The sequence below is a fragment of the Homo sapiens genome, chromosome 2 (assembly GCF_000001405.40).
Source record: "Homo sapiens chromosome 2, GRCh38.p14 Primary Assembly".
NCBI classification, from domain to species: Eukaryota; Metazoa; Chordata; class Mammalia; order Primates; family Hominidae; genus Homo; species Homo sapiens.
In genome coordinates this window covers 109,327,454-109,345,223 of record NC_000002.12, presented here as the reverse complement: position 1 = coordinate 109,345,223, position 17,770 = coordinate 109,327,454, and the positions used below count along the sequence as shown (strand labels likewise).

The window sequence follows — 17,770 nt, the reverse complement described above, 5'->3', positions numbered from 1 at the left end:
TTGTGTAACTGCGGCCCCAACTTAGGTAGTGTGGCAGGTAAAGCTGGGGTGCAGAGCCAGAGAGACTGAGGCATCTTCCACCAGGCAGCCTGGGGCTGTAGGCCACCACCCAGGACAGAGACACTGCGAGACACACACTCCTGAGTCACGGGGATTCTGTCTTTCATGAATTCTCCAGAGGGACCATGGCCTCACTGGTATCAGCACTGTGGCCTGCAGGCCTCCCTGACACCCCCCTTCACTGATGCAGACCCCAGCTAAACCTGCCTCTGTGCCAGTGGCTCTCAAATCAACCTGTGCCTGTGATGTCCCCTCTGATCATGGGACTTGATGTGAACCCAGATGCCTGCTTGACGGCTCTGCTGGACATCTGCAAGCTCCTAGAGGCTGTCTGTCCCTCCAGCCCTACCTCCTCTGGCCATGAAATCCCCACTCAGCTGCTCGGCAAGGACCTTCAGTCATCCCTGTGCCCACCCTTTCCCTTGGCCTGGGCACTCCTCCTGCCAACTCCACTTCTGAGCTTTCACCCAGAGGGCTGTGCACCCTCCCACTCCCACTGCCTTGCCTGTCATCTCTCCTTGCACCCAGTGCAAACCTCCTCCAGTGGTCTCCTGGCCCATCAGCCTGTCATGGGCTGGATGCCCAAATGCAGGGCCAAGCTCATGCACCTGCTGCTTATGAGCTTCAGTGTCTGCCTGATGACCTCAGGGGATCCGAGCTCCTCGGCACGGCAGCCGAGGTCCCCTACGCTGGCCTCAGCATACCTGCCCAGCCACGGCAGACAGCATCCTCAGTCACGAGAAGTCTGTGCTTCTGGAACCTGGAACATGCAGGGCTTTGCAGACAGAGCTCCATGCTACTTCCTCTGCCCTTCTCACTCCCTCCAAAATCCACACTGCTCCCCCGTCACCACCTGTGCCCTCCTAATTCCATCAGCACCCATCAGCCACTCACCAGCCATCCTAACTCCATCGGCCACCTTCCTAATTCCTTAGCTTCTACGCCACTAAGGCCCCCAGGAAGAGACTATGCTGTTCACTCTGATGACCCCAGGACCCAGGAGTGTTCTCCCTGCGTAGCAGGTCCCCTCTATATGCTGTTAATTCAAAGGCACTCAGGTTAGTCCTGAGTCAGGCCTGGATGGGGATACAGGGGGGAAAGTTACAAAAGAAGGATCTGGGGACGGGTATGGTGGCTCACGCCTATTATCTTAGCACTTTGGGAGGCTGAGGATGGAAAATCACTTGAGGCCAGGAGTTTAAGGCTAGCCTGGGCAACACGCTGAGACCCTATCTCTAAAAATAATATTTTTTAAAAATAGGCATGGTGGCAAGTACCTGTAGTCTCAGCTATTGGGAGGCTGAGGCAAGAAAACTGAGTGAGCCTGGGAGTTCGAGGCTGCAGTGAGCAATGATCGTACCACTGCACTCCAGCCTAGGTGACAGGGCAAGAACCTGTGTCTAAGAAAAAAAAAAAAAAGGAAACCAGGGCAGGAGCAGGGCAGAAGCAGGGGCAGACTGGAGATTGTACGCCTGGCCACCTCTCCACAGGTGGTAACCCACCTGCTGGCCCCAACCCACCTGCTGGGCTCGAGTCTGGTACTGAGAGCATGATTCTCGGAGCAAGCAAGCTGTGAGAGCATGGGGGCTCAGGTGGGGCCTGTTTGCCTTGCTGGCTGGTGAGCCAGGAGGAGAAGTGGGGAAGGGTAGGGGACAGAGAAGGTGGGAGAGAGAAGGCAAGAGAGCCCCCTGTATCCCCATCTCAGACTGCCAGACTCAGATTGGACAGAGCAAAACCAAGAGGGGGAATGAACCTTTTTAAGATGCAGGACACATTTCTGAGGGAAAGAAAAAAAAAAGAGTCAAGGAAGATGCCGAGAGGCAGTTTATTTGGAGGAGCAGAAGCAGCCAGAAACTGGATCTCATCAGGAAATGCTCACATGGGTGACACCCGGCACCTCCAGAGTCTTTCATCTTCAAAGCCCTTTATAAGATTAACTAATTAGTCCATGGAAGGGGCCTAAGGCAGGCAGATGCTATTATGGGGGAGAAAAGACTTCTGCTGATTTCACGGCAGCAACCTGGAGGCCTCTATGTCCCAGCCTCCACACCCACCCAGGAGGGTGGGCAGCTGCTCCAGAGCCTGTTTGCTTTCTGCCCACAGACGTGTTTGGAAGAACTTCTCACACTGCGGCGTGCTCCCCTTCAGAGGAATTCCATTCAAACATTGTCACTAAGCCGCCATTATTTGGGCTCAAGACATTAAGAAAAAGAAATAAAAGAAAAAAGGAAAACCCATCTGGGATGCCTACAGGACAATTAACATCAGCCACCCCTGCAAGGCATTAATAATAATTAAAACTTATAATGTCAATTTCATGGCTCATTACTCAGATGTGGCACACACATCTTCCTCTGGACTTAATGTCCTACCCGTGGAGATGGCGCTCACGTGGGCACAACGGCGCCATCTCCGGCTTCTACTGGAATCAGGCATGTGGCAGCAGGCTCTAATGAATGTGCTCCTGACACCCCTGGTTGGGACTCTCAGGCAAGCCGTACCCCTGAGTAAGGGCGGGTGCCAGAGTCGGCCTGCAGCGTCGGGAGGGCACAACCCCAACTGGCCTATTCCAGACCTCCCAGCAAGCTGGGGTGGAGAGCGTGGAGCACCGGCTCCCTGTGTTTAAGACCCTAAGGATGCAATCTTTCAAGGAGAGCACTTGTCACGGCTCTCACCACCTGCTTTCAATGGAGGGCCCCCTTCACAATTAGCCCATCAGGACAGATTCTCGCCTGTTTTGCTCACTGTTGGATGCTCCGCTGCTGGCCTGACACAGATCATACGCTCCATATATCTACTGAACGAATGAACACACAGACTAGCAAACCAGTCCCCTGGGACTGGGGCCTTGGCTCACAGCCTCTATTTGGCCCATTATTTTTCCCAAAATATGAGATTCACAGTCCATGTTGCCCAAGATCCTATTGCTAATAGCAGCTGGGCCTGGCGGAATGGGGAAAATCCCAGGTATGGCTGATGAGAAGTGGGGCATTCCAGCCAGGGGCTCAGCCCATGCAAAGGCCCAGAGTTATAGATGGACACAGAGTCTGCCCACCTGCAGTCTCCAGACCTGTATAGCACAGCATGTGGCCAGCAGAAAAGTGTCAGGAAGATGAACACATTCGTCCATAGGCCCCGGCGGGTGAGACCCTAATTGTATACACACCAAGCACTGCGGGGTCTGAGAATGGGTCAGAGACAGCTAATGACCCCTGATACCCACTTTCTGCTTCTTTTGTCTGTCAGAATATTCCAAATTTCAACTGAGATCAAGCTTCCAGCAGAAGCCTTCATTTTCCAGCCTTGCCTGCAGGCAGCCCTGGGTAGGTGTCCACATTTCTGTCCACAGAATGCAAGTGAAAGTGATTCCTGCACATTCTGGAGCATGTTTTATGATGACATGCATAAGGAAATCTGCCTTCCCACGGGCTGCATGGTAGACACAGTAGGGTGGGCCAGTTTTTCCATCAAATATTATGCCCAGAGCAAAGGGGGAAGAAACCTGGGTCTTGGGGTGACCTTGCAGAACACACCCCCATACCATGAAGTAAGAAAAAGGAAACTTGATCTTATCTGAGCCAACACATTTTGGGATCTCATTCACAGCTCAGCTTATATTCTGACTCACTCAGGAAGTCTCAGGTGTATTTACAATTTCTTTAGCTCGTAAGCATTTTTCAAGCCAAGGCACTGACTTTCATAGCACTGTTGAGGGTTATCATTTATGTGCTGTCATCTTTGAAAAGCACTTTCAACTCAGAGACTCTCAGATTTAGAAAAGGCACAACTCTTGGCCTTACCTTATTTTAAATAATGCATTTACCAGAGTGTATCCCATCTTCCACTTTATAGATTTAATCCGCGATGAAGAAGTTTGTTACTGTTATCACACTGCAACCAGAGGTTCCCAGGTTTTTGTTTTACAGATAATTATATTTCGAGTTCCTTTGTCCCTTTTTCTCATTCAAAGCTGCTTGTTGGGTCCAAACTTTTTGTTTTGTCCCCTCTTTTCTTCTGTCAGTTTCTTCCTTTCCCATATTTGCACACTCATTCATCCAAGAATTGATGAAGAATTGATGAAATAAGACAAAGGATGAAAACACGACTTGCCCTTCAAACACAGGGTGACGAGGCCACTACTAAGCTGTTGCGTGGATGCAACTGTGAAGACATAAATTGTCTACAGCTAAGAGCTGCCTGTAGCATTTTCATGTTGCAGCCAGATTGGAGAGGATTTAAAAGCAAATTTTTTTTTTCTTCCTTTTTTTACTTTTCCCAGACTTTGTTGTGGCCTGTTTCCCTGTTGCATCAAAGCAGCGGTTAGGTCATCTGTGGTGGCCTTAGAATGCACCTTTTGACAAAGTACCTTGGGCTTAGTTTTCCCATAAAGCAGAGATAATCAAATCTGCCCTTCCGTGCTTCTTAGTATGCTGAGAATAAAACTGATGATACGAAAAGAGCTTTGTGTCTCTTAATGAAAAAGGAGCTATAAAAACAATGATCATTGACTACTTGCTGAGGCAAACAGATGTTCCAGGACCCTGGGTGCCGGGGCCAGGAAAGGCAGATGCTTCTAAGTGTAGGAAGTGGTCAGTGGTGATCCCTCCTCATGCACTGCAGCAAAAGTCAGATGGGAGAACTGAGGACCGCCCCTCCAGCATCTGCCCATATTCACTGAATAAGTGAATTCAGCAAAGAACCAATGCATGGTCCTTGGGTGTAAACCTTCTCTCACCCTCAGGGTTGAGGTATGTGCTTCTCTGGGTTCCAGCAGTACTGGGGCTCTCATCCAGACCTTGCCCCTTCCTGTCCTGAGCACCTCCTGTGTGCCTGCTGCTCCTACCTCTACCTGCGAGACCCACAGGATCCTTACAGCAACCCTGTGAGCTTGGCCTTATATTATCTGCACTTTACCGATAGGAAATTGGAGCACAGTGAGGTCCAGTAACTTGTCCAAGGTCCGAGAGACAGGACTGGATCCAGGTGGTCTGACCTCCCAACCTGTGCACTGCCAGCTACACACATCACCCCCTCAAAGTAACTCAGCCATTATTTAGCTGCTACTCCCCACCAGACACTCCCGATAACCCGATTACTGCTCACAGGACTCCTGTGAAATAAGAATTATAGTCCTTTTATAAGTGAGAAAAATGTAGCAAGGTGGGCAAATTCCTCAGCATCACAAAGCGTGTAACTGGGCAACCAGCTTCCAACCACCTGCCTCCTCCTCACTCCCCCAAAAGGCGAGGGAAGCCTCTGTGGAGCCCTGATAATTATCTGTTTAATTATGGAAGGGAAAGGGCAGCTGTGGGTCAGTCATCCGTTGGGCCAGGAGGGTCCAGATCTGTTTACATTTATCCAATTCAGAGATGCATTGCTCACTTCCTCACTTTCTGGGAAGAGATCCCATGCTGTGAGCTGGTATTTGCAGTGTTCCCAGGCATGTTCTGATAATGGGTACTTAGAGGAGTACTTGAGCAAGTCCCCAGCAGCCACCAGGCACCTTGAAAAGTGCTCCTTGATCCCTCCCAGGGAACAAAGGCCTCGCTACCGGCAACCCCTGCAGCCCCACCCAGGCACCCTCCAGGGCCTGAATCCAGCTGATGCCTGGTCGGCCCCATCTACCACCTTTCCACCGGCCTTTTGGGCAGCACACTCACGTGGGCCTCCTTTGTGGGTGGCCTCAGGTCAATGGGGCCTTGCACTGGGGACCTGGATCTCCAGCCACCGCAGAAGACCAAGAGGACAGGAGGGAAGAGAAGGAGGGGACTAAAGGCAGAGGATTCCTTGTAGGTCCTTATTTCAACCCAAACCAACCACCACATCATCTTACTATATATACATTTTTCATGTCATTACTTTCATGTTACCCCCCACCCCCCCAAAAAACAGCTGACCCTTGAACCAACATGGGTTTAAACTGCAAGGGTCTACTTATACGTGGATTTTTTTCAATAAAAGTTATACCGAGTGTGCCTCCCTTCTCTGCCTACCCGTCCACCTCCTCTACCTCTTCTCTGCCTGAGACAGCAAAGCCAACCCCTCCTCCTGTTCAGCCCACACAACGTGAAGATGATGAAGATGTAGACCTTTATGATGATCCACTTCCACTTAATGAGTAGTAAATACATTTTCTCTTCCTTACAATTTTTTAAATAACAATTTCTTTTCTCTAGCTCGCTTTATTCTAAGAACACAGTATATAATGTATAGTTCTCCCAAGATATGTGTTGATCAACTGTTTGTGTTATCAGTAAGGCTTCTGGTCAACAGTAAGCTCTTAGGAGTTGAGTTTGAGGGAGTCAAAAGTTACATGCAAGACTTGGCGCAATGGCTCACACACTTTGGGAGGCCGAGGCGGGTGGATCACCTGAGGTCAAGAGTTCGAGACCAGCCTGGCCAACATGGTGAAACTCCATCTCTACTAAAAATACACAAATTAGTCGGGCGTGGTGGCGCATGCCTGTAGTCACAGCTACTTGTGAGGCTGAGGCAGGAGAACTGCCTGAACTCGGGAGGCAGAGGTTGCAGTGAGCCAAGATCGTACCACTGCATTCCAGTCTGGGCAACAGAGTGAGGTTCTGTCTCAAAAAATAAAAATAAAAAGTTACACACAGGTTTTTGACTGTGCCGGGGGTTGTTGCCCTAACTCCTGCATTGTTCAAGGGTCAAGTGTAATACAAAAAGGTAAGAAAAAATAAAGTATCTGTGAGCATGTAAAAAAAAAAAAAGTTTCCCTAAGAATCTGGCTCAAATGACAAAAGGAAGGAGGCCTGTGTTAGAACTGGGTCCCCAGCGCTCAAGGAGTTTTGAGGGTGGCCATGAAGCTTCTTGCAGAAGAGCTCAATTCTGCCACACCCTGCCTGCTCCATGCCTCAGTTTCCGTACCTGCAAAACAAGCGTGCTAAGTATCTGTCTCACAGGGATCCTAAATGTGAGATCGAATGAGTTAATACAGATGAGTTACTCCTAACAGTGCCTGGCACACTGTAAGTACCAAAGGATGGTCTCCTGTTGGTAGCAAATAACTTCCGACTCGGGAAGCTACCAGACAGCAGCACACAGCGTGTTTACTAAAGTTCTCCACATCACATGACACACAGACTGGCAAGCTCCATCAAAAACAGAAGGAGCCTGGGCGCGGTGGCTCACGCCTGTAATCCCAACACTTTGGGAGGCCGCAGCAGGCAGATCACTTGAACTCAGGAGTTCCAGACCAGCCGGGGTAACGTGGCAAAATCCCATCTCTACAAAAAAAAAATACAAAAATTAGCCAGGCGTGGTGGTGCATGCCTGCAGTCCCAGCTACTCGGGAGGCTGAGGTGGGAGGATCACTTGAGCCCAGCAGGTTGAGGCTGCACTGAGCTATGATTATGCCACTGCAGTCCAGTTTGGGTGACAGAGTGAAACCCTGTCTCAAAAAAAAAGGGGGACCTTAGCAAAACAAACTTGACCACCAAGATAACCCACCTGGTAGCATACGGCATATGCTGATAGCATATGGCACAGCCATTCAAGAAGGTTCTAAAAAGGAAGGTTATTCCACCAATGGAGGATGGACTTCCTAGCAAATGTGCTAAAGGCTCGGGGAAGCTCCACAGACCTCTTGGGCAGGGTGGAAACGCTGAGGGTGATCCTGTGACCGGGGGTGCCTCCAGGACTCCCGCCCTTGCCTGCACAGTCCCTTATCACCATTTGAGGAAAACATTTCGCCATATGCGAGGGGGTGGCCACAGTGCAAGGCGCTAAGGACACCACACACAGGAGGACCTAGCCTTGGATGCAGAGAAGTTACAGGACAGATGGGAGCAGGGCCACAATGGGGCCAGCAGCCCGATGCACCCTGCACCCAGGGCTCCCGGCAGCCCTGCTGTGGGGAGAGGAGAGGGTCCCAGGACCAAGGGAGCCCAAGCTCTTACCTCTCAATACAGATAGGTCCAAAGGCTTTTACAAATCTTTAAATCATGTGGCCAATCTCAGGAAAAAATCACCCTATGAGCCAGTTCGTACCTCCCTCTCTAGAAAGGCATTTAAGATACATAACACAAAAATGTGAAAACTACAAGTCCTGAATTTACATTTAGGATACTAAATACGGTTTGCTATTATGTTAAAAAATGTTAAGCCTGAATCAAAGCATACCTAATGATTTGGGCTTATTTCACATAGATATTGCATTTGTCTGCTTTACACTAATTCTGCAATTTGCTGCCCACAGAGGATGATGGTCTGGCTGTCAGGGATGCAGACTGCCCTTTGCTCTGGGACAGGAGGAACTGAGCAGAATTCTTCACTGCACCAGGTGTTGACGGATACGGTTGGAGCAGGAGAGGGTCCCTCGGCACCCCATTTCCATGTTGATTTATATAAATCCTTAACTCCAGATATTTAGTTACAAAACGCTTTGCCAACTTTGTAATGGAAATCTCCACAAAATTGGATGTTGCAGTTGCTTTTACAGACTTAAGGTAAACTTCATAAGTAAGTTATTAATGCAAATAGTCTCACTGCAGAGAAACAAACAAATGCTCTCCTGGTTTGCTGCAAAGAGCATTTGCCTCAACGTGGTGGAAACACTGCCCAGGGCTGGCATCATCCTCCTCCCTTGGAAACTGGTTCCTTCAAGAGCAGCCTGCGGGGTACACGGGGCCTCACAGCGAGTCCTCAGCACGTGCTAGCCGTGGGCACACCAGGACATTTCTTTGTACCCAAGGGAGAAACTTATTGGTGGCAGCTTCCCTTCCAAATGTATTTTGCATGCTAGTGAGTCAATCCAGTTATTTTCTGTTCTATCTGTGAGAAATTCCTTCTTGAAGCCTTCACACTTTAATGTGGCTTTGTAAACTCATTTTAAAGTAAAAATGGGTCTTTGGTTGTCATTTTACCTAGTCTAGAGAACAAGACAGCCTTCCCAGCATGACACCTCTTCCCCAGTGAGGGAGAATCCTTCTCCTGCAGGCCAGCTTCTAGGCACGTGGTGATTTTTGAACTTCCCAGAGTAGTAAGTATTTTTGACTTTCTTTAAGATATTAAATATTTTTGAACTTCCTAAAATATTAAAGAGCTTACTAGGCCTGCCTGAATTTTCAAAATGTAGGGAGAGGAATGCCTTCTACGCTAAAGCTTTTCCTGATGGGTTCCAGATGTTGCCAGTCACTTAAATCAGCCCGAATGTCTCGACAACATCGTGCTATCAGTCTCACCGACATATCCCACTCCCAGCCCCCAAGTGTCTTTTTTTGTTGAGCTGCTTCATTCATAAATACATCTTTCACATTCACTTTATGCTTTCAAGTTTTCTAAGCATTTTCATAGGCTTTATTTAACTTTCATTCTTATCCTCTCTACAGCCGCGTAAGGTAGGAAGTGGTTTTAGGACATTTATGCAGTTAGTCAGCAAATCGGAATGAGTGCCCGTTACTTGTGGGGTGCGGTTCTGGCGTGGGGTTTGGGAGTGAACAAAACACTCAGAGGTCCCCACCCGGGTGGAGTTTATGTTCCAGCCAGGGGGACAGCAACAAAACATACAAATAAGTAAAATCTAGAGAATGTCAGAAAGTGGTTAAGTGCTAAGGGGACACATAAACCAGGGGAGGGGACATGAACACTGGGATGGGGATAGGGTGAAATCTTAGAACGTCATCATCGAGAAGGTAACTGAGGGACACGTGGATGAGCGAGGGCTAGTCGACGAGCATGTCCCAGCCCTGAGGGGCAGAGAGGAGGTGGCGTGTGGAAGAGGTACGGGCTTCCCAGGGTAGGGGCTGTGGAAGGGCTGGAACAGCCCAGCAGAGACTCAGAAGGAAATAAACGCCATTGAGAGTTTTCAATGTGGAAACTTGAGGCATAGGGAGAGGATAAAGAGACACCTGAGAAAACATGCTAGAAAGAGCCGTTCTCGTGTGGGACGGGCGAGGGGCCTTGCCCCACAGTCCCCACAGCTGCTCCTCTGAGGTGCGTAGGCCTCGGAACTCTAGATCAGGCGCAAGGAACAGGTAACACCCCAGGATGCTGCAAAACGTCCTGACGAATCTGCTCCGAAAACACGAAATGTTCGGTTTTGAAGCAGGGAGTGGTATGACCACCATGATCCCAGGCAGAGACAAAACCGTGTCTTCAATGATCAGGGAGCACATGTAAGTCGCCAACGCGGTGACATAAATCGCGTTCTCAGAGCCTCGCACCAGGACGCATGGCCTGGGAAGGCACGCAAAGAGTTAAAAGCAGAACCTTTCCAGGAAGGCCAGCCTAAAAAGCAAAAAGAAGGCTTCTCAATAAAAACACTGGGTTCCACAAATATGTAGTCCACCTGTCCTGGAAGTGCTACTGAGGGGAGCAAGTGGCACATAACATTCTAGTTGGAGAAGGAGAGAGAAAAACAGAGGCAGGAACAAACTCCTTCAGCAGCCTCTGTGGCCCATCGCCTCCTGTTCTCATGAGTTGAAGAGGCATATTGCAGCTTTTTCTCCCTGTGTCTGTGGGTCTCCTTTCCCTCTTGTCTGCATTATTAAGTGTGACTTCCTGTCACCATGCTGCCATCCCCTGCTGGAATCAGCGCAGTGGACACTGTGGCTGCCTCACTCCATCCCTGGCATCCCCGGAGCGGGTGAGGGTTCCCCTGCTGGCTGGCACCACTAGCACCCTTCCTTTAGCCAAGCCAGTCTGTGCCCTTATTGCGAGGAAAGTCCGCAGGGTTCTGGACCAACAGGAAGCCAAGACACCCACAAGGCTGTGTTTCCTATGGGAGGTACCCTGATGATGAGGTGGTCTTTATTTTTTTTTAAGATTTTTTTTTTTTTTTTTTTAAAGGAAAAAAAAAAAACTGTCACCCAATCTGAAGTCGAGTGGTGTGATCATGGCTCACTGAAGCCTTGACTTCCTGGGCTCAAGCAATCCTCCCACCTCAGCCCCTCGAGTAGCTGAGACTACAGGTGCATGCCACCACACCTGGCTAATTTTTTCTATTTTTTTGTAGGGACGGGGTCTCACCATGTTACAGCCCAGGCTGAACTTGTGGGCTCAAACAGTCCTCCCACTTTGGCCTCCCAAAGCGCTGGGATTATAGGCGTGAGCCTCTGAACCTGGTTTTGAGGTGATCTTCAAATGCACAACTGTCTGTGATTTGAGGAAGCGACTGGACTTTCCTAAAGTCTTAGAAACCTGCCCACTTCCTTAAAAATTTAACACATTACCACTTGTCAGAAAGTACTCTGAGCATGTCCTCATTATTAATTCTTCTGAACTTCATAGCAACCTTAGGAGACAAGTATTATTTTGGTGATATCATTATTATATCATCATAATTATAATTATTAATATTATAATGGAGATATTATTATCTCCATATTATCTCCATTTTACAGTGGAGGAAACTAAGTCACACAGAGGTTAATTAACATGTTCAAGGTCATGCTGCCAATACGTGGCAGAGCTGGGATTTAAACTCTAGCAGTTTGGTTTCAGAATTTGTGCTCTTATCTTCTATGCCAGCGGTCAGCAAACTTTGTCTCTAGTGGAGCAAGGTGGCTTTGCAGGCCATCAGTGTTAGCTGTAACTATTCAACTCTGCCATTGTAGCAGCCAGAGCTCCAGAGATTCCATGTAAATTAGTGGGTGAGATTGTGTTCCAATAAAACTTTACTTACACAAACAGGTGGGGTATGCTATACGTGAAACCTCACTTTGTAGACTGTGAAATGTGATCTCAAGTCCAGGATGACTGACTAAGGTTAGGCTTGTTTTATTTTGTGTTTTTAAAAGCAAGAATCTCAACAGATTCACTTTCTTAACATCTGATGCTGAAACCAATACATTACATTGATCACATTCAGTTTCTTGTGCATTTCAGCAATGAATATATCCAGCAAGGATATGCTAGGGCTCTTTTAAAAGGCGAAACTAATCACCCTGAACTTGAATTCTCAACTACAGGCAGGAGAATGCCTGAACCTGATAGATACAGGTAAGTCCATCATGCCTTTCCGAGGTGCAGGCCTGGTGCTGCCGCGAGCAAGATCAACCCTGGGACTTGAGCTAGGGCTGGAAACTGAGGTCTCTCCTGGAACGCACTGAGGCAGCACTGGAGCTGCAGGGCACCAGGCAGTGAGCAGCTCTGCACTCACGCGCATTCCCAATCCCAGGCTGCCGAAGACGAATACATGACCCAGCAGGCTAGGCTGTCTTCTGCATCCTGCTGATGTTGGGACCACCAAGGTCTCACTGTCACAGTTAATTTCCTCCCATCAAAACAGCTCAAAGGAATCCACTGGTTTCTGACCATTTATTCTATAAGGCAAGAAACACTTCAACACTTTTGTGAGGACACAATTAACATACTGTGCACGTTAAAAAGGGTGATTCCGAGTCCTATTTCTCACCACCCACACTAGCACCTGTGCCTCCACACACTAACCCTGGGGGCGGGGTGGCTGCTCCTGGATATGTTCTGTAGGAAGCTCGGCAGGAATCACTCAGAAGGGTGACTCATCGCCCCATCCTTTCCTGCCTGGCAAATTAGAGGATGTTCCACCCACGGGGCAGCCCTGGCTTCCTTAGCACAGCACAGTGAGCTAAGAAATGCAGAACTGTCTAGTCCAGAGAGGGCTGAACTGCGGGGAGCTCGGGACAGGAGAAAGCTCTGTTCCTCACACATCCTGGGACTCCTTAGGGGCAGAGGCAGCAAAGGAGCCTTGTGCTGCTTCTGCTGCACTCAGCCCCAAGCCCGTCCAGGAAGACCTGCACCCTGCTCGGGGTGCTGGGGGAGTCGCGGGAGTGTCAGAGCTGAGCTACAGGCTGAGAAGGAAGGAGCAAGTGCAGCACCCCTGGGCGCAACTCTCAGAACACAGAATCAGGAGGAGGAGCTCTCTCAGGAGAGAGTTGGCGTGCCAGAGGGAAACAGACGGATCAGCAGGTTGTTTCTACCCTGAACTCAGAGAGGCAAGAAGGTCTGTTAGGGGTCCCATGAGGCAGCTTGCAGAGGGCTCCGGGCCGCAGATGCTTCCCTCTCATGGGTAAAGCGCCTCTCTGGTGCTCTTTACCAGCAGCCTTGGCCAATGTCTATGCTAAACAGAAGCACCCAAAAGACTGGCAAACACATGCAGTCTTCTCTCTTTAGCTAAAGCAGAAAGCCACAGATTTCCGGTAACCGCTGCTCCCAGGCTCAGCCGGCATCCACGACTAGTCACAGACAGTCACAGCACCAGGAAGACCCATCGGAGGATCGGCCAGGTGCTGAGGGTGCAGGCAAACCCCTCCAGAGAGGCAGTGGACTGCAGCTCCTCTGGTGAGAGGTCTCTCCTCAGGGGAGACCCCAGGGGCATGACAGGGTGCCCCTGGCAAAGATCTGAACACGAGACTTTTAAAAAATCATCTTAATATTATATTCATTCAATCAGTCACCAAGTACTTATTGGCCACCTAATATGTGCCAGACATGGTTCTAGGAACTAACAAAATAGATAAAGAAAATAGAAACAAAATAGATAAAAACATCTCTACCTTAAGGGAGCATACACTTTATAAGGGGACAGAGACATACACAAAATAAACTATTAAAAGTACGTAGTATAGTGAAGACCGTAAGTACTCCAGAGAAAATATATCCAGAAGGGGATTGGAAGGCGGTGGGGGTTGCAATTTTAAATTCAGGAGGGTGAGAAAGGGCCTGAAGGAGTAGACGCGGGAGCCCTGAGGTTTTGGGAGAAAGTGCTCCTGGCAGGGAGAAGTTGCAAACCTGGTTAAGGCCCCAGTTCTCACACTCCAATCAGTTCATGATGCAAAACAAGGGGAGAGAGAGAAGGGGAGAGGAGGGAGGCAGGAAAACAGGCCAGGTGGCTGTTAATTGATTGCAAATGAGGAACTCATTTGATGGCCAATTCCTGAATCTTGCTCTGGCACCCAGCCCTGCGGGACAGGCGGGTGGGGGTCTGTACACAATATCAGGAAATTTCAGCTTCAAGAAATAAGACACCCGGCATTCCCCATGCTCCAGGGAACAGATCCAAAAGTAAAGGATGGGGAAGAATGAAACCGCTTTTGAGTTTATCTCCTGGCCATCTTGGAAGAGCTTCTGCTATGCTGGAAGGAAAAGCTGAGGAGTCTTTTTTAGATTTTGGGTGAAAGTCAACAGATACTACAGTAACTCCAAACACCTGGCTTTTTATATGGACTTAGACCATGAACTAATGCATGGCACAACCTTTATTCAACACACACTTGCTGGGGACTTCCACTGCACACACTGTGCAAGGTGCCAGACACAGATGAGTGACTTGCAGACCCTTACCAGAGGAATTGGTCCCTTAAGAGGGATCCTGCTTATTGATGAAACCCAGGGGGAGAAGACACACACCTCTTTAGGAGTGTGTGGGGAATGATGGTGTCCAGTTGTGTATCTGTGTATGTATTTGAATTATCTTTATCCACCCATCTCTCCATTTATTTGTTTATTCATCCATCCGTCATGTATCCATCCATCATTCATCCATCCATCCATCACTCCTCAATCTATCATCCCTCCCTTCCGTCTCTCCCTCCATCCATCCACCACACACCCATTGACCCACCATGCATCCATCCATCCACCCATGCAAACAGTGACTATCTTGTCTGTGCCAGGCCTGTGTGAGGTACTAGACATCTAACAATACAAGGGGGGACACCCCCTGCCCCCCATTCTTACAAAGTTCGTAAGGAAGATGGAATGTTTATTTAGAGTCATAATGTATCGAATATACATGACTAAGGAATAATCAACAGGATGAAAGTCTTGGATAATTCTGAGATATGCCAAGACAAGAAAAAAAAAAGAAGGAAGAGACGGAGAGAGATAGGCACAAGAGAAGAATTTTGCCCCTTTTCTTTAGTTTCGCAATAACATCTGAAATGCACACCAAAATTGAGGAAAAGGCAACATTCTTCTTTCTGCAACCCACAGAGTTGGGGAGACTTACCACACATTCCAGTGGGACAGACACTGGGCAGAAGACATTCCTTCCAGCATGTTCCCTCTAAGTATCTCACAGCTGCCCCAGAGTGGGAGCAAAGGAAATGCATGCCCGTGCTACATATATTTCATTACATGTTTTAAACTTTTAAACCATTTACTCCACTTAGATGAAATTCAATGTTTTGTAAGGGCCAGGGATGTTGACTTTTTCTGGTCAACATTCTCTCAATGCTAGTCAAACTGTCACCATGACTAGGGGTCCAAGAACCCATTGAAGAAAGTTGCAGTTTATCTGCACCTAAAGTTAAGAGGTTCTGCAGAGAGACTTTTGGAAACCATTCACATTCATATAACTTTTATTTCTCTCTTGTGCAGTTCCAAACCTTACAAAACTGGCTGAAGCTGGGTTGAAGGTGGGCTGAAAGTGAGGCTGGGCCTATGTAAGAAAAGGCATCTCCAGCCTCCTTTGTGTCACACTCCTGCAATTCATTTCACCTTCCTCCTGCTTTCTTACTTCTTGGCTCTAAATCAAGCTGAGCACTGCCCTCTTGCAGCCTCTAGAAATGTGCAAATCTCTCTGCTAAAGTGTCCTCCCTTGAGGGAGGCCTGTCAGCTCCAGACTTATCATCAGCCTTCCACCTCTGAAACTTGCTGCAGGAAGGCTGCACCCCAGTGCAGGGAAGGGAGAATGGGGGGATGTGTTCAGTTGTTCTCCAGCCAGCACAGAGGGAAAGACACCGCTCCAGCCATGGCCTCTGGAACCATTTGAAGCCACTGATTTACATCTCATTGAAAAAGTCTTGGTGAATAACCCCACCTGCAGGTCCACTTGATTCTTTGGGGCTTGACTTTTTCCTCATGCGGATTTGCTCTCAATGCAAAAGTCTTTTCCTCTCATGAGTTGTGTTTTTTTCCACATCTCCAGGATGTTTCTCAGATGGAGAGATTTAGAAGCAATCAACCAGGCTTCATGGGGTCTGGTCAGAGACTGGACCTGGTAATTGGGAAAACCAGGAGAAGGCTGAGCACAGAGGGAACACCAAACAAATGCGCAGAGAAACCACACGAGAGAAACCAATGTAGGAGAGAGGGGAACATTTGGAGATGAAAGAGTAAGAAAAGGAAGAGATAAATATTCCCAGAAGAAATGTGAGAGGATTCCAGGCCACTGGACTAAGATGACTGCCTCTGTGGACACATGGCCAATTCCTCAAGAAGACCACAGAGCAGCCACCAGGACGTGGGAGGAAGGACGTGGCCAAGCTTGTCATGACCACCCCGTTAACAACCCCAGGGAAGCCTCAGCTCTCAGCCCTGCTCAGAGCATGGAGAAGGCAACTGGGAGTCCAGGGATATATTTGACACTCAGACATTCCACCTCTGGATAACACTGTGTTCAGGTGAAATATTTTCATGTTCCTGCCACCAAAGTGGTCATGAACCACTGTGGTTCACACACACAAATGTGGGGGAGAGGAAGACCATACTGACAGATCACAGGACACAGTGATGACCAGGAGCATACAATGGTGAATGGCATCATCCCACGCTGTTTCTGGAATTCCCTTCCTATATCAGTACCATGACCTAGGCATCCTGGATAACCTGGAACGCTAGATTAGAAAGTACAAAGATGATTCTGAATGCACTGTCGAAATCAGAGGCTCACAGCCCCACCTAGAAAGTGTTCTTAGAAAAACAAACATGTGTAAACAAATGAATCTAGCCAAGTCCTCAGATGTAACTACCAGTTTACAGGAAATACAGGGAATGGAGGAGCAGGGGAGACAGCACCATGAGGATGCAGCCCACATAGTCAAGGGTGGGGCAGCTCTCCAGGGAAAGGGACTATGTTCTTCAACAGATTAATGGCATGAAGGAAATAGGTGGAAAAGAGTAGGAACTTCCAGAAATAGAAAGAAGTAAGAGAGATGGAATCCTATGCCATGAGTGGACCTTATTTGAATCCAGGTTTGAACAAAACAAGCATAAAAAGACATTTTAGAGACTATGAGGGAAATCCACACATGGACTAATATCAGGCAACTACTGTTAATTCTGACAGTGTGACAATGGTTTGGCTGTTTTTTGTTTTAAGACTTCATCTGTTGGTAATACATACTGAAATATTGAAGGATAAAATAATATGATGCCTGGGATTTTCTTTAAAGGATTCCCCAAAAAACAAAAAAAGTGGAGGGACATATGGAATAAGCTTGGCACCATGTTGACAGCTGCTGATGCTGGATATCGCCTGACACAGGGTCATTGTCCTAGACCCTCCATGATTGTGTATGTTTGAAGGTATCCATAATAACAAGAAAAAGAAATGAATTGCTAAACTGACACAAAAGAAAATTTATGCAAAGGGCAAACATGAAAACAGGAACACTGGGAAGTGGTATGTATATGTAAAAGTCAACTGCTTTTCTATCTACCATGCACAAGTAGCTAAAATATATAATTAAAAATACTTTATATTTTTGTTGCTATTTTAAGTGGTACTAGGTAGAAATTTAACCAAACATGTACATTTCCTTTATGGAGGATATTATGCAATTTTACTAAAAGATATTAAAGATGGCCTAAATAAATTGCAAGAAATATGATGTTCTTGAGTAAGAGGACTCAGAAAAGCTGTAATTTTCTCCCAACTTGATGTATAGTTCAAATGCATTTCCAATTTAAATCTCGACGGGATTTTCAAGTACTTGACAAAGTACTTGACAAATTGATTTAAAATGTATGTGGAAGAGTGAAAGTC

General features: G+C 47.9%; 2 protein-coding genes across 4 annotated transcripts in view; both read right to left on the bottom strand.

The window, feature by feature from the left end:
• RANBP2 (RAN binding protein 2) overlaps positions 1-17,770 on the bottom strand; it is a 1,122,820-nt gene that overhangs the window by 497,078 nt on the left and 607,972 nt on the right. The window lies entirely within an intron of this gene.
• SH3RF3 (SH3 domain containing ring finger 3) overlaps positions 1-17,770 on the bottom strand; it is a 375,430-nt gene that overhangs the window by 159,411 nt on the left and 198,249 nt on the right. Inside the window, exon 1 of one of the 3 annotated variants that reach the window (XM_047444144.1) lies at positions 15,824-16,692. The exons of the other annotated variants lie outside the window; for them this stretch is intronic. The gene's annotated coding sequence lies outside the window, so the exon portion shown is untranslated. Of the gene's footprint in view, positions 1-15,823; positions 16,693-17,770 lie in introns of those variants that run through there. 3 annotated transcript variants of the gene reach the window in all.